The sequence below is a fragment of the Homo sapiens genome, chromosome 13 (assembly GCF_000001405.40).
Source record: "Homo sapiens chromosome 13, GRCh38.p14 Primary Assembly".
NCBI lineage: Eukaryota > Metazoa > Chordata > Mammalia > Primates > Hominidae > Homo > Homo sapiens.
The window spans coordinates 94,501,454-94,522,584 of NC_000013.11; the positions used below are offsets into that span (position 1 = coordinate 94,501,454).

The following is a 21,131-nucleotide window of genomic DNA, read 5'->3' on the forward strand; positions in this document are numbered from 1 at the left end:
TAGTCACCATCTGTTCCTCCTTTCTACTTTCCTTCCTTTTTGACTTATTCCTTGAACAAATGTTTATTAAGCACCTACTGTATGCCTGGCCCTGCACTAGGCACCAGGCTCACAAGGATGGGGAAGAAGACAGCCATGGATCTTGCAGTCACGGTACTTATGCAGAGACAAAGACAGAGACAGAGAGAGAGAGAGAGAGAAAGGAGAGAGAGGAGAGAGAGAGAATGAGAACAGGCTTGCAGAAACTCCTGGCAAGACCACCAAACCTGCGAGAGTGAGGGAGGGTGTCCCAAGCAGAGGGCACAGCATTACAAAAGCCAAATCATCACAATGTGGCGCACTAGGTGCAAGAAGGGAAGAGTTCATGAGGGACAAGGCTGCAGATTGAGCAGAGACCATGTCAGGAAAGTCCTCATGTTTCAGCTTAAGGAAGCTGAAGGCAGCCCAAAGTTCGCTATCTTGTAGGTATTATTGTCTCCCTCACTCTGCCCTTGCTGGGTCTCCCACTGTTTCCATAGCCTCAGCCCCTACTTCTGAGGCTCTGCTGAGGGTGCCTTCACTGTTCCATAGCCCCAGCCCCCACTTCTGAGGCTCTGCTGAGGGTGCCTTCACTGTTCCATAGCCCCAGCCCCTACTTCTGAGGCTCTGCTGAGGGTGCCTTCACTGTTCCATAGCCCCAGCCCCCACTTCTGAGGCTCTGCTGAGGGTGCCTTCACTGTTCCATAGCCCCAGCCCCTACTTCTGAGGCTCTGCTGAGGGTGCCTTCACTGTTCCATAGCCCCAGCCCCCACTTCTGAGGCTCTGCTGAGGGTGCCTTCACTGTTCCATAGCCCTCCCTGCTGTCCCCCTCATCCCATGAATTTTGCCCCTTTCTCTCACCATCATGTTCTTCTGTTGCCTCTGCCATTTCCAGTTGATTCTGTGGTGGGGAAGGACACGGACCTTCCTCCAGCAGGTATTGCCATAGTTCTCGGCTTACTTTCCCTGCCAGACTCTTTGGGAGAGTGGCCTGAGCTCCCAGCCTCCACCTGCTCTTTTTCCATTTAATCCTTAACTATTGCACCTGCGTTCAGTCATCAGCCCTCAACACTCAGCTGCGAGGAGCTGGTGAACTTGTGATTACACCCAGCAGGCATCTGGCCAGTCCTTCGCTTGCTTGGCCTCTTTGTAGCTTTCTGACCCCCTCCTCTCCTTTCTTGGTTCACCCCTTTCCCTCAGCTTCTAGGTACCTCATTCTCCTTGTGTCCTCCTTTTTTTCTTCATTTTCCTCAGTCATCTTTATAAATCTTTCTCGTCTACTAGCCCTTCAACGTGTGGCTGTCCTTTCCTCTCCTCGCTGCACTCTCTCCGAAATCTGTATCTCCAGACCACATCTGCTCATGCAGACAAATCCTCTGACTTCCAGCCACTGTGAGCCTGCCACCCCAGGTCCCCACCTTTCTGTGACTCAGTGAGGCTTCCCAAGTCAGGCTCATTGCAAGGAAAACCTGGTTTAACTAGTAAAGAGGTGGGTTATAAAATATTGTTAGAAACACCGTGGTGGTTTAAATAATGTCTGCCAAAATGATGTGCTCGAGACCTAAGCCCTGGGACCTGTGAATGTCACTTTATTTGGAAATAAAGTCTTTGAAAATACAGTTAGGTTGGGTGCGGTGGCTCATGCCTATAATCCCAGCACTTTGGGAGGCCAAGGGGGCATGGATTGCTTGAGTCCAGGAGTTCAACGCCAGCCTGGGAAACATAGCAAAAACCCCATCTCTACTAAAAATACAAAAAATTAGCTGGGCATGGTGGTGCATGCCTGTAGTCCCAGCTACTCAGGAAGCTGAGGTAGGAGGATTGCCTGAGCCTGGGAGGTCGAGGCTGCAGTGAGCCAAGATCACGCCACTGCACTGCAGCTAGGGTGACAGAGACCCCATTTCAAAAAAAGGAGGGAAGGGAAGGAGAGGAGAGGGGAGGGGAGGTGGGGGAAAGAAAGAAAGAAAGAAAAGGAGAGGAGAGGAGGGGAGGGAAGAGGAGGGGAGGGGAAAGTTAAGGATCTTAAAATGATACAGTCCTGGATTTAGGGTGGGCACAAAATCTGACTGGTGTCCTCATAAGACAAAGGCCTCAGAAAACTGGAGAGACACAAGGAAGAAAGCCATGTGAAGACAAAGGCAGAGATTGCAGTGATACTGTCACAAGCCAAAGACTTCCTGGAGCCACCAGAAGCTGGAAGACAGGATGGGTTCTACCCTAGAACCTCTGGGGATAGCATGGCCCTGCCTATACCTTGATTTCAGACTTCTGGCCTCCACAACGGTGAGAGAATAAATTACTGCTGTTTTAAGCCACTCAATTTATGGTAATTTGTGACAGCAGCCCTAGAAAACTAATACAGGTACATACCCATTATTCTCTTTTTAAAAATTGCTCATACAATTTTCAAGTGGGGGTCCTGGCTTTCATAACTATTAGAGTTATTGATGAACTACTGTTTGCTTTATACCTGTAAAATGAATGGTGTTGGTTGTGCATAAGTGAAGTAAACATTTTCTTTCTGTTTTGTTTATGTTGTTGCTTGGTGAACTCATTTATCAAAGTGAAGGCAAAAATAAACATTAGTACATCTTAATCCAAAGCCAAATTTGCAAGACTTGGAATTAATAAGATGCTGCTGAAAAGTGGTGCAATCCTTGTTATTTTTATAGACTGTGATTCTTGTGTTTGGCTAATGTAATTAATCTTCAGCTAAAATCATCTGTTCCAAATTTACACTAATTTTCAATGCTTCAATATGTTTGCAAAGCAGCATTCTGCTTCTGTGTACTGCAGGTAGATTCTTGTTACCTGTTAGCCTTGGTAGAGCTTATCAACTGATGCAGTGCACAACTTTGGTGGTGCTGGGGCATTTGTAGTTTTTTTGTTGTTTGTTTGTTTTGTTTTTTCTTTGAGATGGAGTTTCGCTCTTGTTGCCCAGGCTGGAGTGCAGTGGCACAATCTCAGCTCACTGCAACCTCCACCTCCCAGGTTCCAGTGATTCTCCTGCCTCAGCCTCCTGAGTAGCTGGGATTACAGGTGCCTGCCACAATGCCCGGCTAATTTTTTGTATTTTTAGTAGAGATGGGGTTTCATCTTGTTGGCCAGGCTGGTCTCGAACTCCTGATCTCAGGTGATCCACCCACTTTGGCCTTTCAAAGTGCTGGGATTACAGGGGTGAGCCACTGCACCTGGCCAGCATTTGTTTTTGATCTGGGGGGATACTTGCTACTGGCATTCAATGGGCAGGTGGCAGAGTTGTCCCACCCAAAATGCCCATAAGCAACCCTCTGAAAAATATTGCTAAGGATTTCCAATACAACATTTGTGACTTGTCAAGGTGATGCCATTTATTATTAGGTGTGTGAAAAATAAGAAATGACTTGTATTGGCTTATTTTCTTTGTATCCAAGGCACCTTCTGCATAACTCCCTCCTACCTCTTCTCATTGGACTGTGTGTGTTCACATGTTCATCTTCCTCTAGTCTCTTTGTCACATCAGAACGGAGACGGCACTTCATTTGTCTTTGTATCCCCAGCAGCATTTCAGCAACAGAGTGGATGCTCAGTTAGGCTTGATGACTGAAAAACGAACAAAAGCCTGGTACACCAAAAAAGTTTAGAAAATGTTTATAAGAACAAATTGTCTCTTTTGTCACAGAAATACTCTTTGTTATCCTGAAGGCCCTGGTTTGGTCTTGGGGAAAGCACACTAGATCTGGTATCCTGGTCTAGGGTTCTTGACACACGCATTTTATCATTATCTTACTAGGTCTTAGATTTTTCATCTGGAAAATAAGGGGAATTAGGGCTTGGTCTGCATTATTCTAAGGTCTCTTTCAGCTTCAAAAATTCTACTTCTTTGTTAGACAAAGATAATATTACCTCCAGATTAGACACCATAGTCCTACTGCCAAGTGCAGGCTATTTCTAGATTTTCTACTAATCCTCTAACATCAGTCATTATCTTATTTAATGTCAGAGTCTAGATTTGGCCGAAAGTCCGTTTGTAGAAGCTACATTTTAGAAAAACAAATGTACCTAGCTTGAGAATGTAAGCCATCTGGTCATCTGTTATCCTGGTTTCCATGGGAGCATATTTTCCTTTTCGGCCATGGAGGAAGACCGGGAGGATACCAACAGCCATTCTACATAATCAGAGTTGAAAGAGAGTGAGTATGGCACAAAAGTGGGGAGAAGAGAAAATGGCAAACATGATGGGACATCACTTTGTGAGTTTGTATAAAAAACTTTGGTTTCCATCTTGCTAGCCAACACTATTGTCTTCTCAGCTTGAACAATTTGATAAAGCAAGCTGCCTTGTTGAAGAGACCCACGTGGCAAGAAATTGAGAGCAGTCTTCAACCAACAGCCAGCAAGGAACTAAGGCCCTCAGTCCAGCAATCCACAAGGAACCAAATCTTGGAAACATCCATGTGAGCTTGGAAGTGAATTATCTCCAGCTGAGCCTTAAGATTACTACAGCCCAGCTGACTTGACTGAAGCTTGTTAGAAATGCTGGAGTTGAGAACCAGCTCAGCCCTGCCTGGATTCCTGATCCACAGAAACTGTGAGATAATACATGTATTTTAAGCTGCTAAATTTGGGGGTAATTTGTTACACAGCAATATATAACTAATATACTTGATATTCAGAAATCACGTATAGTTTGTTATCTGCCACCATGGATATCTAAACACCAGTGACTATCTTTTGTTTCTCCCCCTGGTGTTTACTTAATCGCTTAAAACTCCATCTGGTCATCTAGCCCCAGCTCTTCGTTTCTAAATACCATTCTCCATTAAAACAACCTAGGCTCTTGGGGAAAGTTGATTCCAGGGTTGGGGCAGAAAAAGGCAAAAGCAGAGCCTGAAACATTTTTTGATGCAAGAAAGTAAGGAGTCCTCCCTAAAATGATGAGGCAAGTCAAAAGGATACAGAAAGCAACTTGAAGAGCCCCCAGTGGTAAAATCTGAAACAATGTGAACAAGAATTTAAATAATGATTGTAATAGATTATAACCCATAGAATAAAATAAATAATTATGAGTTCATACTTATATAAATAAACACATAAAAAAATTAATGTGTGAGAAGGGACAGCAGAATTTAATTAGTAAATATAGAAAGAATGATGCAAATAGAAAGTAACTATTAGACAAATTCCACAGTAATCATTATGGATTACACTGTTGCATGACAAAAGAGTGTATTTACATAGTCTCAAAATATCTTCTTATAAGATATTTATTGCTTATAAAGAGAAAAATAATTTTTAAAAAGTGGGGAAATCTGTAGGATACCGCCTTAAACTAGTGATCAAATTTAGCATCACCATGATAAGATATATCAATATCATGTACATCCTGTTATTCACTAAAAAGGGCACAGCATCACTTTGGCAGTGTTCTTGCCAAAAATGTTTAGCTTCAATCTATTAATATTTATTTTAAAAATCAGGCTGATGCACATTGAGAGTTTTTACTATTATCTTACTCTATTGAGCTCTTTGAGTCTTGGTTTCTTTATCTGGAAAATAAGGATGTTGGACTGGCTAGTATTCTTCAAAAGTGTTCAAGTCATAAAAGACAAAGACTAAGAACTGCACAGACCAAGGAGAATATGGAGACACAACTACATGGCATGCCATGCTTAATCAGAAAAGGGACATTAGAAGGAAAACTGGCAAAACTCAAATAAGATCTCCGAATGAGTAAATATCATTGTATCAATGCTAATTTCCTACCTTTGATAATTATACTAGGGTTATGTAAAGTATTGACATAAGGAAAAGCTGGGGGTAAAAAGTAAAGAGAAAGTCTCGCTACTCTTTTTTGGAACTTTTCTACAAGTCTAAAGTTATTTCAAAATAAAAAGTTTGATAATAAAAAACATCTGGTATTCTAAGAGGATATTCTGGTAGCCTTTCAATCTCACACCACAAGCGAACAGGTGCAACACCTTTGATGTGGGCTATCAAAGAACAGCTTGCTTTTGAACAACAGTTGGAGTTTGCATTTCTGGTATATTGACTTTTTTTTTTTTTTTGAGACAGTGTCTTTCTCTGTTGCCCAGGCTGGAATGCAGTGGCATGGTCTTGGCTCACTGCAAGCTCTGCCTCCTGGGTTCACGCCATTCTCCTGCCTCAGCCTCCCAAGTAGCTGGGACTATAAGCGCCCACCACCATGCCCGGCTAATTTTTGGTATTTTTAGTAGAGATGGGATTTCAACGTGTTAGCCAGGATGGTCTCGATCTCCTGACCTCGTGATCCACCTGCCTCGGCCTCCCAAAGTGCTGGGATTATAGGCGTGAGCCACCGCGCCCCGCCGTATATTGACTATTTTTTATCTAAACTCTTAGAAGATATTAGCTCAGTTTTAATTAATCACTTCTAACTTTATAGAGTCAAGAGTCTACATGTTTTAGTCTCTATCCTTCACTTCATTCATGATAGAAGAAATTGCTCATCCAAATCTTTAGCAAAGATAAAAATGTGCACATGAAAGGGCCTTATATACTGCTCTTTAGTCACATTTTTATAAGTTTACATTGTTTACTATGGCATACATAGGCAAACCTCAGTTATCTGCAAAGATCATAGCATGCTACATTTCATGATGCTGTTAGTAAAAAGTGATAACTAGTAATTATTATGTATTACGTTGGTGGTAGAAACTGTCTATCATTGCCCTAATTGTTTGTCATAATAACTAACATTTGATTCCTACTACATATGAAGCACTGAGCAGACCACTTTATAGATTATTTATTTTATTCCTTCAATAACACTATGAGTTAGGCACAGATGAGTCTGCAAACACATATTCGCTAGTAATATCTGGCATCAGAGAAAGAGCTAGGTGGGTTATACTGGACCCCAAGAAAGGTCTGTGCTGGAGCAGTGACTGAGTTGTCACAGCAACAGGCACTATTTGATCAATTCCCTTCTATTTATGTCTTTTCAATCAGTTTACTCTGTTAGCACTGGGGAAAGGGGAGTAGGCATGGAGGGAAAGAGGAAGAGAGGAAAGAAAGAAAGAAGGAAAAGAAATCTCAAATTGTCTGAAGAGTCTCAACCTTGTCATAAAAATGAAACTTTCAGTTTGATGTGTTTCAAATTAGAGAAGTTTCCAATTGGAGGAGAAAGACTCAGGAGGAATATGAAAGACAGTTTTTTAAATGTGAAGGGCTGTTCTGGGAAAGGGGGATTCGAATTGTTGTGTGTGGCCTGAGAAAGAAGAATAGGGGGCCACTGGGTGGAAGTTTACACAGACACATTTTAGCTCATTATAAAGAAACACTTTCTAACCAGATAGTCCAATTACAGGAGATGCTGCCTCAGAACTTTCTGAGCTCTTGGTCCCATGAGTGCTACAGAGGAGGGTGGATGACCAACTCTCAGAGAAGAAGAATAAAAACAGGGGATTGGTACTTAAATTAAACGACTTTGAAAGTCTCTTCTAGTCAGGATGCTCTGTGAGGAATTCTGAGCCTTTGCTTTGCCACTGAATCAGACACTACTGAGAGAGGTCAGTTTCCAAGCCACTGAATCAGACCCTACTGAGAGAGGTCAGTTTCCAACTCCCTCCTCCATGGTGTCTTAGCTCTGGGCTACCTATTATGTTGAGTTGAGAGAAGCAAACTGAATGGGTATTTGGAAATAAGAGGCTGAATCAGACAACCAGTGCATTGCTGTCAGTCTTTCAGAGCTGAGAGAAAACTATGAGATCTAAAATTTGGAAGACTCTTAACTTTGTGAACTTTTCTCCTTTTTCTGTAAGTGGGAGGCCATGCAGTATGGTGGGTAGGATGTCAGCTGTGGAGAGCCTGCCTGGGTATAAATCCTGGGTCCCCATCTCCTGGCTGTGGCAGTCATTGGTGCTGTTCTCTCAAATATTTCCATATCTTTTCTCCTGGGAAGTACTGACATCTCCCCCCACACCATCACCCCCTCCCCACACACACACAGAGGAGTGTGACCATGTGACACATTCTGGCCAGTAAAATAAAAGAAGTAAAGCCAGTGTGTGATTTTCAGCCTGGCCCTAAAGTGGGGACAATGTGGAGCACAGCCCCTTGCCAACCATAATGGATATGCAGTGTGAGTGAGAAATAAATCCTTGTCTTAAGCTACTTAGATTTTAGGAGTGTTATCTCAGCATAACTTAGCCTACCCTGACTGATACATGGGCTCTGGGCCAGTTACTTGACACTGCTAAATCTCAGACTTATTATACATAAAATGGAATCATAATAGCACCCATCTTCTAGAAGTGCTGTGAGAATCAAGTGAGAGAGTTAATACATACAAAGTCTTAACACAGTGCCTGGCTTATAAGTAAGTGCTCAAAAATGTTATCTACTATGATCACTATACCATAAGCTCCACTGGGTCAGGAATCATGTGCCCAGCACTCAATAGCAATTTGTTGCTATTGGCCAGGCACTCAATAGCAATTTGTTGAAGAATCAAATTAAGTCATTCTTGACAAGGAGCATCAATGACACCTACCACACTATTGCTAATCTGATGAATGATATTCAGTTGTAATCTTACTCATTGGCAGCATCCTCCTTGAAACTCCCCCTTTGTTTTCTAAGATATTCCTCCTGGCTGGTTTCCTCCTAGATCTCTGTCCTCTCCTCAATCTCTTTTCCAGTTTCTCTTTCTACTCCCTAACTATCAAGGGCATTCTCTAGAGTTATGTCTTTGGCCCTCTTCACATCAGAGTCACTGGATGGCTCTACAAAGTCCTAAGGCCCAGGTCCCACCTGCAGGTTTCCTGATATAATTGGACTAGGGTGCATCATGGGTATCGGGATATTTAAACCACCCTCCTACCACCAAGTGATCATCCTGTGTAGCCAAAGTGGAGAGTTAATGCCCTGCACCTGAACTGTCCACCACAGTGACCACATAAGACAATTAAGCACTTGCATTGTGGTGAGTCCAAACTGAGGTGTGCTGTCAGTGTAAAATACATACAAGGTTTAAAAGACTAGTATGAAGAAAAGCATGTGAAGTGACTCATTCTTAATTTTCATACTGAGCACATGTTGAAACAATGATACTTTGGATGTAGTGGGTTAAATATATTATTCAAATTAATTTTACCTGTTTCTTTTTACTTTCTGATGTGGTTATCAGGAAATTTTAAATTATATATGTGGCTTATGTTATATTTCTAGCAGACAGAGCTGCTTTAGACACTCCTGCTGAGTGGTGCCATCTTTCTCATGGCTTTTACCACTGTACATTATGATCCACAAATAGGCTTCTCCAGCACCTACTTCTTTTTGAGCTCCAAGCTCACGCATCCAACCCAAACACACATCTTCCACAAAATTGGCTCTTCCTCTCCTGGTGCTGCCTGTGGAGCATCAACATCTACTTGTCCACTAGACAAAAGCCTGCAATTCCTTCCACTTCTCCACATCTTCCCCCAACCATGTGAACCACCTCCTGCACATTCTACTTCCTAAATATTTCTCAAAACTCTGCATTGCTCTTCATCCCCACTGTTTCTGTCCTCACTGGCTTTCAGTGGTCTATCTTCCATCTAATTTATTGTAGACACCTAGCAAGAGATGGATCATTTCAAAATGCAAATCTCCTCTGTTTAAAAATGCTTTCATGGCATCAGTGGACTTGAGGATAAAACCCAAAGTCCTAACAATGTCTATCAGGCCTTTCTTGATAAGGTGCTTATCTGTCTCTCCGCCATTCCCACCTGAGAAATGGGGACTGCCCTGCCCCTCCAGCTACATTGAACTGCTGATTCCTCCAATACACCCTGCTCTCTCAGGACCCTGGATCTTTGCACAAACTGCTCTCTTCCTGGAAGGCTGTTCGTGTTCCCCTGCACCTACATAACTTTCTCTCTCTCTCTCTTTTTTTTTTTTTTTGAGATGGAGTCTCACTCTGTCACCCAGGCTGCAGTGCAGTGGCATGATCTTGGCTTACTGCAACCTCCACCTCCTGGGTCCAAGTGATTCTTGTGCCTCAGCCTCCCAAGTAGCTGGGACTACAGGTGTGTGCCACCACACCTGGCTAATTTGTGTATTTTTTGTAGAGATGGGGTTTCACCATGTTGGCCAGGCTGGTCTCAAACTCCTGACCTCAAGTGATCCACTTGCCTTGCCCTCCCAAAGTGCTAGGATTACAGGCGTGAGCCACCGCATCCGGCCTCATAACTTTCATCATTCAGGACTCCCAGCTTGCTCTCCATGAAAACTTCCCCAGCCACCCCTTCTCTCAGGCTAAAGGAGAAACTCTTTCTCACCCCACTCCATGTTCTCATACCATAGGTGTGTTGTCTCCTCCCACTATACACCTCAATGCCCAGCATTGTCAGTGTGTGTGTGTGTGTGTGTGTGTGTGTGTGTGTGTGTGTGTGTTTGTGTTTTAAGAGATGGGGGTCTTGCTCTGTCGCTCAGGCTGGAGAGCAATGGTGCAATCATAGCTCACTGCAGCCTCCAACTCTGGGGCTCAAGCAATACTTCCACCTCCACCTCCTGAGTAGCTGGGACCACAAGTGCATGATACCACACCTGGTTTTTTATTGCCCTTTTACTTTGTCTACTCCCACTAGACCATAAGGCTTTTAAAGGAAGTAGCCATTCCTGACTTGCCTTTGTATCCCTAGTGCCTCACCCAGTACTGGATACAGCATAATAATAACAACAGCAACGATAATAACAATGTTAATAATAGCAGCAGGGATTGAGCAGTTACTACATGTCAGAAACTGCTCTCTGCTTCACATGGATTGCCTCTTTTAATAATAACTTTATAGAAGTATATTGAGATAATAAAATTTGAGCGTGGCCTAGGACTGTGCTAAACACCACAAGACACACTAAGAAGCAGATTCTCTAATCTAAAGAAATTGGAAATATCATCAAGTAACAAAAATAGTGCACAATTCTTTCAGGCAAAACTACCACCCAAAGAAAGACATTCAAATAACTTCTAATTTATTAAAGGAAGAGTTGTTCTTGCCATTTAAAAATAAAAATATGTCAATAGGAATTATAATTATTATGGACAGTTGAGAAGCCAGAAGTGGGAAAAAACGACAAACTATTTAGTGAAACACATGTAGTATGGCATGGCTTTGTTCACCAAAACATTGACTCAGTATGGAATGTTTCTATTCAATCTTCAATAATCCCTGTTAGTTCATCAATTCAACAAATCTATGTAATATTTATAATACAACATGCCAATGGTTTCATATATATATATATACACACACACACATATATACATACACACACACACACCCCATGTGTATTTATGTGAAAATACACAGGAGCTAGAAGAGAAACACATGAAAGATTTAAAACAACAAAGCCAAACTAAGTATCCAGACCCATGAGAACTTCAGAGTAGGAAGAGATTAGTGTGGATCATTGTAGCCAGAGGAGCCTTCATGCAGGTAACAAGATTTGAAGAGGAAGCTGTGGGAGGCTGAATATACAGAAGGTAGAAAGAAGGGCTTTCCAGGCAGCAGAAATAGCATGAGCAAAAGTTTGGGTGAGGCCATGAACTTTTTCAGAGAACGTGCCATTCTGTTAAGTCAAAGTCTTACCCATGTATTTAAAGACACAAAGGGCTGGTTTCTTCATTTCTCCTGATTCACGTCTGTGCTTTTGTGTCACTTGTGATGCTGGGTGAAAGAAGGTGCCTCTCTGATGTGTGCTAGTCATTCCCAAGGCGACAGCTCTGTCAGAGATAAAAATAAGGAAGTATCCTTTTTTATCTCCTTTGAGATGCTAACAGGCTGCTTTCCAGATTGCATTCCAGTCTACAGTTGGTTAGCAGATTTGTGTACTGGTTCCACCTGGGCATATAAATTACTCTCTCCACTCAAAGTGCTTTGTAGAGCACAAGAATTTATCGTGTGGAGAGGTAACTATGGTCTGCTACAGTTTTATCGGTGTCTGTGGAATAATCCTGAGCTTAGAGTAAATTTTAGCACACCAAGCAATTTATATAACAACCAACCTCCAATTATCTAATTTTCAGAAACAATATATGAAACAATGGGCAGCATTTGTTAGGCACTTACTATGCCTCTGAGATTTGGTGGGGAATGTTCTGTGACAGGGAGACAAAACAAGCAGGAAGCAGCCAGAGGTCCACACACTAGGGCTAGGCAGGCTGTAAAGACTCTACTCAGTTCCCAGAGAGTTAGGCTGGGAGATGGCCTTTAGATAAAGATAGATACCGCTGGGCACGGTGGGTCACGCCTGTAATCTCAGCACTTTGGGAGGCCAAGGTGGGTGGATCACTTGAGATCAGAAGTTCGAGACTAGCCTGACCAACATGGTGAAATCTCGTCTCTGCTAAAATACAAAAATTAGCCAGGCATGGTGGCAGGCGCCTGTATTCTCAGCTATTGAGGGAGGCTGAGGCAAGAGAATCACTTAAACCCAGGAGGCAGAGGTTGCAGTAAGCCAAGATCGTGCCATTGCACTCCAGTCTGGGCAACAAGAGCAAAACTCTGTCTCAAAAAAAAAAAAAAAAAAAAAAAAGATAGATACCTATCTCTTTTCTTGATTTAGATGTAAAAGGTCAGGGATTGGCGACGGGGCAACCAGAACCCTGAGACTAGGATCATGGGCTGGGCACTTGGGCTTTCCAGAGATGGAAAGCAAAAGCCATCGACACTTAGCTCTAAGACCTAGCTGCCTACTGTGCCGGGAACATCACCACTTCCATCCTAATGAAATACGGAAAGAGCACAGATGTGATGTCGTAACAACAGTCCAAGGAAGGGGAGGTGGCAAAATATGAATTTCCTCACAGAGAAAGGGGAGGTGGCCAAACCACCAAAACGGGGGTGGGCATCAATGGGGTTCACTACATTTGACTTCATGCAGCCTGTCTGAACCCCTTCCTCTTGTTTCCCTTCCTGCCCTGAAAGGCTATACTGACCATTGCAGAGTCTGAGAGGAGTAAGCAAAGTTAGCAGCTAGTAAGCAAAGTGAGCAGCCTTGGCTGGGCTGAGTCACTGGAAGGTTCTGAGTGTTCAGAGGCTGCTGCAGCACAGGGTAAGACGTGTGGCCCAGACTCCAGGGCAGTGTCAGAAGAGGCTGCACTTACATGCAAAAGCTAAACAGGAGTTAACCAGGCAGAGTGGGGAGCACGTGGGCAAAGGGACCAGCAGGAAGAAAGGCAGGGATGTGAGAAAGGCTGGGCCTTTCGGTTCCCTCAATATGGCTGCAGGGCAAGGCGGGAAGGGGGAAGACAAAAGATGGACGTGGAGACCTAGCCTCGCATGGCAGGCAAAGGAACCTGCAAATTAGACTGCAGACAGTGAGGAGCTCGGCAGATGTAGCATAATTACAGCTGTATTTTACAAAGACTACTCTGATGACAGGATGGAAAAAGTTAACTAGGTTTGTTCGGACTGAATGTTTGTACCCCCTACTTCTTGCCCAAATGCATATGCTGAAAACTCTAAACCCCAATGTGATGGTATTAGGAGGTGAGGCCTTTGTGAGATAATTAGGTCATGAGGGTAGAGCTCTCAGGAATAGGATTAGTGCCCTTAGAAAAGAGACTGCAGAAAAATCTCTAGCCCTCTCTCTACCATGTGAGAACACAACAAGAAGATGGCAGTCTATGAACCAGGAAGAGGACCCTGGGCAGAACCCAACGATGTTGGTGTCTTGATCTTGGACTTCCAGCCTCCAAAACTGTAAGAAATAAATGTCTGTTGTTTATAAGCCTCCTAGTCTATGGTACTCTGCTGTAGCAGCCCCAACTGACTAAGACAAGAGTTCAAGGGGGATACAGAAGGCAGTAAAATTAGTCCAGAAACTGCTGCAATAACCCAAGTACTAAATAAACAAGGTTCTAAACCAAATTGGCAACAGTGGGAATGAAGAGGATGGGATAGATTCAAACTGCAACACAGACGTACAAAAGAATACACAGAATTTGGAAACCAATTGGATGCGGAAGGTGAGGAACAGGAGAAGTAAAGTAAACACCATGGTTAAGGCTTAGCTAACTGAGTAGCTGGTAATGCCACTTACCAAATACTGAATCAGTACTTGTCAGTGCCAAGCTGCTATGTGTATTCCAAGCATCATGGGTTCTGATACAAGGAAGTAGAGGCTTACAAAACCTCAAGAAGGGCTTGGAGTGGTTTTCAGAAGTGCTACAGCTGCTGTTCAGAAAAAGAGAAGCTTCTTTGAATCTCAAGAACTTCTAGAAAGCTTGGACCTCAGCTTACAGTAGCAATGCAGGTCATCTCCAAGAAGCCACTGCAGCTGTCTACACTGCCTACAGCACTGTAACAAATACTCACCTGGGAGTTCAGCTAGAGAATGGAAAGTTGAGTTGGGGTAGGCGACGTGATCTCCAAGGAAGGTGTTTGATACACACATCCAGATAACAAGGAAGAGCTCTGAACTAGAAGGACAGATTTGAAAGCCATGGGGCTTAAAAATGGAATCACCCAGAGAGAACATATGCAGAAAAGTGAGAAAGAACAGGACAGTATCCACAGGAGTCCAAATAAGACAAAGATAAGCAGCAACTCAAGCCCCGCCCCCACCCCCACCCACCGTCTAACTTTAGGAGCTCCTCACCTCTTATGGTGAGGAGCCAGACTCAGCTGATCCCAGTGCAAGCCCTCAGCCTCATGTTCTCTAGCGCATGACCGGAGCTGTATATGGAAGAGGTGGCATATGGATTGAGTGTGCCTGGCAGATATTGTAAGCCTGAATTTTCTCCAAGTAGGAAAAGATGATGGCCAAGTGCAGGTGGGTAGGGAGGAAAACTTCTGGAAGAATTAAGGCTTGAGGAGGAAAGATACAAATCAGGTAGGCTATTTTCTACATTAAATTTCAATCCTTGCTATAACTGCTGCCCAGAAAAGAAATACATCTGGTGAAAGTCACATGGTTCAAGCTAAGTGAAATCAACAATTTTTCTTTGTGCTAAAGATTTCACGGTTTGTCTCATTTGCAATGGGGGAAAAAACTTTTTAAGAGAATAAATCATTAGGAGACAACCTGCTATGGTTTGGATATTTGTCCCATCCAAAACTCACGTTGAAATTTAATCCCCAATGTGACATTACTGAAAGGGAGGGTCTTTAAGAGGTTGTCAGGTCATAAGAGCTCTGCCTTCATGAATGGATTAATTCATTTATGAATGAATGGATTCATGGGTTATCATGGGAATGAGACTGGTGGCTTTATTAGAAGAGGAACAGATACTTGAGTCCACCCCCCCTCACCATGTGATGCCCTGTGCCACCTTGGGCCTCTGCAGTGAGTTCCCACCACCAAGAAGGTCCTCACCAAATGTAGCCTCTCAACCTTGGACTTCTCAGCCCCCATAACTGTAAAAAATAAATTCCTTTTCTTTATAAATTACCCAGTTTCAGGTATTCTGTTATAAGCAACAGAAAATAGACTGAGACACAACCACATTTCCTAACCAAGTAATTTACAAGATTATTCAAGGAAAGTCAAAACCAATTTCAAAAGCGTGTTCTAAGAAACAAGTTTGTACAAAGATACATTATTGCAAATAATGCACCTCAAGGCATACTAATTATGTAGTTTCTAAAATTTCCCCCCAAATATGGTCATTTCCTAAATATAAGAGGGTAAGCGAAGTAAGGGATTGAGGAGAATTATATAGGTTGGAAATGATTTTCTAACAATTTCTCTTCCACCCTTTTTATTCCACCCAACAACATCGTTTCATTTCTGTCTCCTAACATCTAATCACTTTTACTCACTATCCAAAGACTGACAATTAACCTCAACAATTTTTGCCATTTTCCAATGAGGCTTCAAGGTCCATGTTGACACTCACCCAATATCCTGGACCCTCATCTTCTTGACTTCATCTCTAGTGAATTCCTCTTTTTCTCTACCTCAGATACCACCCTCATGATCTCATTCTTGACTCTCATCACCTGAAACTGTGTCATTTTCAAAAATGAGACTTCTAAAATTTATAACATGTAAATATCCACCTCTGTGACCACACCCTCACATCCTTCCACTTCCCTTGATCAAGCATTCTGTAACAGGCTGAATAATGACACCCAAAGACAGCAAGTCCTAAGTCCTGTAAATGTTGCCTTGTATGGCAAAGACTTTGAATATTCAATTAAATTCTGGATCTTGAGATGGGGAGAGTATCCTTGGATTATCCCAGTGGGCCCTAGATCAAATCACAAGTGTCCTTATATGAGATATACAGAGAGAGATTTAACACGGACAGAAGACAGGAAGTCAATGTGAAGGCAGAGGCAAAGATCGGAATGATGCAACCACAAGCCAAAGCATGCTAGTAGCAAAATACGTTGACTAATTAATTAAATTTAAAAATTTTTTAAAGAATGCTGGTAGCCACCAGAAGTTGGAAGAGGCAAGGAATGAATTCTCCCCACTACAGCCTCAAAGGAAAGCATGGTCCCCACTGATTTCACCCCATTGAAGATGATTTCAGGGCCAGGCACAGTGGCTCACACCTCTAATCCCAGCACTTTGAGCAGCTGAGGTGGGACGATCACTTGAGTCCAGGAGTTCAAGACCAGTCTGGGCAATAAAGAAAAGAAAAGAAAAGAAGGAAGGAAGGAAGGAGAAGGGAAACGAAGGGAAGGAAGGAAGGAAGGAAGGAAGGAAGGAAGGAAGGAAGGAAGGAATGAAGGAAGGAAGGAAGAAAGAAAGAAAGTCCAACCATTGGCCATCTTTGTGTCAGCAACTGGCAACTAAGTGTTGTTAAAAAAAAACAATTATACAACCAGGCAGATTGATACCACCCAAAATTGATATCTGGGAACCTCAGTTGAACCCTCCACACTGCTTACCCTCAGCCATGTTCTAGACTATATGTATATCACTGTCAACTCAACATGGAAGTCACAGAGGCACTTTAAATCCAATGTATCCAAAACTTTTCTCATGATCTCACTCTCCAAACTTACATCTACATGTTCCACAGCTCAGAAAATACTGGCCCTAATACTGTCCAGTTATTCATGTCAGAATCCTTGACGTTTTTCTTCTCTCATCCCCTTGATGAATCCATCATCAAATTCTGTTGATTTTAGTGCCTCAAAGTTTCTCAAACCTGGTCACATTTCTCCACTTTTTACCAATGTAATATTCAATTCACTGTCATCAATTGTCTGACCTGGGACAATAGCCTCTGCACACGTCTCTGCATCCATTCTTGCTTTCCTCCTGTTGGTTCATTTGTTATGACCAGAGTTATTGTTTAAAATACAAGTTTAATCATTTTGGCTCTCTGCTTAAAACTGAATATCTGAATATATTCCAGTTCTTCATAGAATAATGTCCCAAATCCTTAGCATGGACTCCAGCTCTGCTTCATGATTTGGCCTCTTCTCTCTTCGGCCTCATTTTGATTTGTGCTTCTTCTTAATCCCTTTAAGTTGCAGTCTTGCTGGCCTTATCTCAATTCTTAGAATGCACCAAGTTCTTTCCAGCCCCAAGACCTTTGCCTACACTCTTCTATTTGAATGGATTGTTCTTTCTTCCTTGCCCCACCCACCATTGCCCCCTCCGCCTAACCTGGTTATTTCTTATTCCTCCTTTAAGTTCCAGCACAAATGTCATCTTCTCATGGAAATCTCTACCACCTCCCTGCCTAGGTCACATCTGCTAATGATATCCTGCTAAAGCCCCCTATACTTTACCTTCACGGCACATACCCAAGTGAAATTGTGAACTACTTGGGTAGTTATTTGATTCATTTAATGTATCTCACTTTCCTAGGTTATAATTTTTATAAGGTCTGGAGCCTTATCCATCTCATTCCTGGTGACTCTCCAGCACCTAGAACAGTGCTTGGGCCCTAGTAGGTAAGCGAGTGCTTATTCAATTTTGGATGGAATGGAAAACTTAGGAGCTTGGGAGTTATAAAAGATGAGCAAAACCTGGTTTTGTACCCAAGGAGTTTGCATTTGGATACTTGTTCAAATCTCATGTCATCTAACCCCATCTCAGAAAAAAGAAATGACTGTATATCAAGAAGCATATTGAGATGAGTACCTAAGCAATTTAAAAGGGGTTATTTCAGCATGGCCACTGTAAAGTTATATGGGGTTTGCACTGCACAAGGAAACATTGTCAGGAGGTGGGTTAGGAGCTTCAATCCAACCATGCTCAGCTTTCCCAGCTACACATTGGTAGGGACTGCATCTGCTGAAGATGTCCTTTTTCTATCTTGAGAAAAGGTATGGTAGAGGCCAGTGGTTGCCTTGATTCACATCCCAAACATGTGGGTCCTGGGTGATTTTGGTGGTGCTTAAAGAAATGCAATAGCCTAAAATTCAGACAGGTAGTAGTAGAACCAAGAAAAAGCCCCAGGCTTGAGACATGTCCATTATTCTATTCAAACAGTTAACTATGAGGGAGAACTGAGGAGAAGGTCTAAATACATATTGAGTTCTAAGGTGGCAATTAAGGACATCTAATAGAATCTTTAAGTGGTCCCTATCTGACTCTAAGATGTCTCTCTGAGGTCAAGAAGGGTCAAACAGAGCCTCAAAACACAAATCTTGCTATTTAACATTCTCAATAATCTCAATGTTAGCTCCTCAATAGCTTTCAGATATTATACCACTTGCTGCAAAATTAAAATTAGAGTCAATACAATGAGTACTCAGTATGCAAAACAATTCAAGGCTCTATTTCAGCATGAAGTTCCATTTAAGCTGCAGGAATAAAAGGAAAAGACAACCCTTTGTTCTCTTTATTTCACAATCCTGCAAATGGTCTCTTAGCCAAAATAGTTCCTCTAATCTTTAAGTTTTAATTAGCTGCCCACAATTCATAAAATATCAGGAATTAAAATTCTGATACCTCATTCTCCTGAGAAATGGCACACAATTAACCTCTTTTTTCTGGTCAAAGGCAGAAATTGAGAAAGGGTAATGACAAAATTAATCTATTCTGGTGGCGAGGCCTGCCATAAGGCTGGAAGACAGCATCCGACCCTGCGTCGAAGGGGAAAGCAATCTCTAGCACGTTGAGGAGCCTCAGATCAGTTGTGGCTTTTGTATTCATGGTGAATTCTATCACAAAACATGTGAGCCCCAAATATCTTACAAAAATATTAAATGATTCCCCAGGAAGAATCAACCTAGCCTGCCTTCCTTTCTCTCTAAAAAGAGGTAAATACAGAGGCTTTAAGTGGTCAGAAGCTCTGGCTTTCTAGCAAGGTGGGTAGAGAAAAAAAAGGACTGAGAAACTCACACCTTCCTGGCATCATCTCCAGATCAAAACATATGCTGGGCAGTAGTAAAGTCAGATGGAGTTTCTGGGACCAAGTTTATACCTTTCTATAATAATTAGTCCCCAGAAAATATAGATTCTGCTTTTATTCCCTAATGGTAAATCACACGGTAAATATTTAAGCAGAATTATCCGTATCCATTTAAACTCAGTTGAAAGCTCATGGGACAGAATACAGCCCAGTACTAAGAAGGTAAAGATATTTCAATGGAGGCTGTCAATGAAGACAAAGGCAGGCCTAACTAGCCCACATTTAGAAGGTAAAGATGTTTCAACAGTGGCTCTCAATGAAGACACAGGCAGACCTGGGTAATAGGATGGAGGCTGTGGAGTCCATCTGCCTGGTTTCAAATGCCAGCTTGGCAACTTACTAGTTGTGTGATCCAGGGCAACTTGCTTAACCCCTCTGAGTTTCTGCTACATATCTCTAAAACAGGGACAAAAACCTGTGTTGTAAGGATAAAAGAGAGAATGCGTATAACATGCTTAGCTCAGTACCTGGCACTTCATGAGTGCTTGTTAAAGTTAGTTACTATTATTGTCAATAGAGGAACCTAAATATTTTTAATGAGTTTAAAAAAGAAAGATACATTTTCATGTTAAGAACCCTTTAGTGGCCGGGCACGGTGGCTCACGCCTGTAATCCCAGCACTTTGGGAGGCCGAGGTGGGCGGATCACCTGAGGTCAGGAGTTCGAGACCAGCCTACCAATGGGGTGAACCCCCGTCTTTGCTAAAAATACAAAAATTAGCCAGGCGTGGTGGCCTGTGCCTGTAGTCCCAGCTACTCGAGAGGCTGAAGCAGGAGAATCACTTGAACCTGGAAGGTGGAGGTTGCAGTGAGCTGAGATCATGCCATTGCACTCCAGCCTGGGCAACAGAGTGAGACTCTGTAAAAAACAAAAACAAAACAAAAACAAACAAAAAAAAACCTTTAGTAATTTCAATTGCTGCTTTTGTTGTTGTTAACAGCTTTATTAAGATATAATTCACAAACCATAAGACTCACTCATTTTAAATACACAATTTGATGGCTTTTAGTATGTTCAAAGAGTTGTGAAACCATCGCCACAATTTTAGAACATTTGCATTATTATAAAAAGAAGCCCTATACCTAATACCTAACATGTCCCAATCCCTCCGTTTCTCCCAGCCATAAACTTCCTGTGTCTATCGATTTACCTATTCTGGACATTTCATATCAATGGAACCATATAATACATAGTCTCTTAGGATGGGCTTCTTTCACTTAGCCCAGTGTCTTCAAGGTTCACCCATGTTGTAGCATGTATCAGGACTTATTCCTTTTTATGGCTGAATAATATCCTATTGCATGGTGTGATAATTAATACTGTCAACTTGATTGGATTGAAGGATGCAAAGTATTGATCCTAGATGTGTCTGTGATGGTGTTGCCAAAGGAGATTAACATTTGAGTCAGTGAGCTGGGAAAGGCAGACCCACCCTTAATCTGAGTGGGCACAATCTAATCAGCTGCCAGCATGGCTAGAATATAAGCAGGGAGAAAAATATGAAAGGAGGGACTGACCTAGCCTCCCAGCCTACATCTTTCTCCCATGCTGGATGCTTCCTGCCCTCGAACATCAGACTCCAAGTTCTTCAGTTTTAGAGTTTTAGAACTCGGACTGGCTCTTTGCTCATCAGCCTGCAGATGGCCTATTGTGGGACCTTGTGCTCATGTGAGTTAATACTTAATAAATTCCCCTTTATATATATATATAAATTCTGTTCCTCTAGAGAACCCTGGCTAATACATACGGATGTAGTACATTTTGCTTAATCATTGCTATT

At 42.4% G+C, this 21,131-nt stretch overlaps 1 protein-coding gene across 6 annotated transcripts in view; it reads right to left on the reverse strand.

The window, feature by feature from the left end:
* Positions 1–21,131, reverse strand: part of DCT (dopachrome tautomerase) — a 112,596-nt gene that overhangs the window by 64,643 nt on the left and 26,822 nt on the right. The window contains exons 2-3 of one of the 6 annotated variants that reach the window (XM_011521049.3): positions 4,060–4,166; positions 3,458–3,600 (exon numbers count right to left, since the gene is read on the reverse strand). The exons of 4 other annotated variants lie outside the window; for them this stretch is intronic. In XM_011521049.3, the coding sequence (XP_011519351.1) occupies positions 3,458–3,563 (106 nt within the window). In that variant the 5' untranslated portion in view covers positions 3,564–3,600; positions 4,060–4,166. Of the gene's footprint in view, positions 1–3,457; positions 3,620–4,059; positions 4,167–21,131 lie in introns of all 6 variants that reach the window. One more of the 6 variants, NM_001322186.2, reaches the window with a different exon arrangement.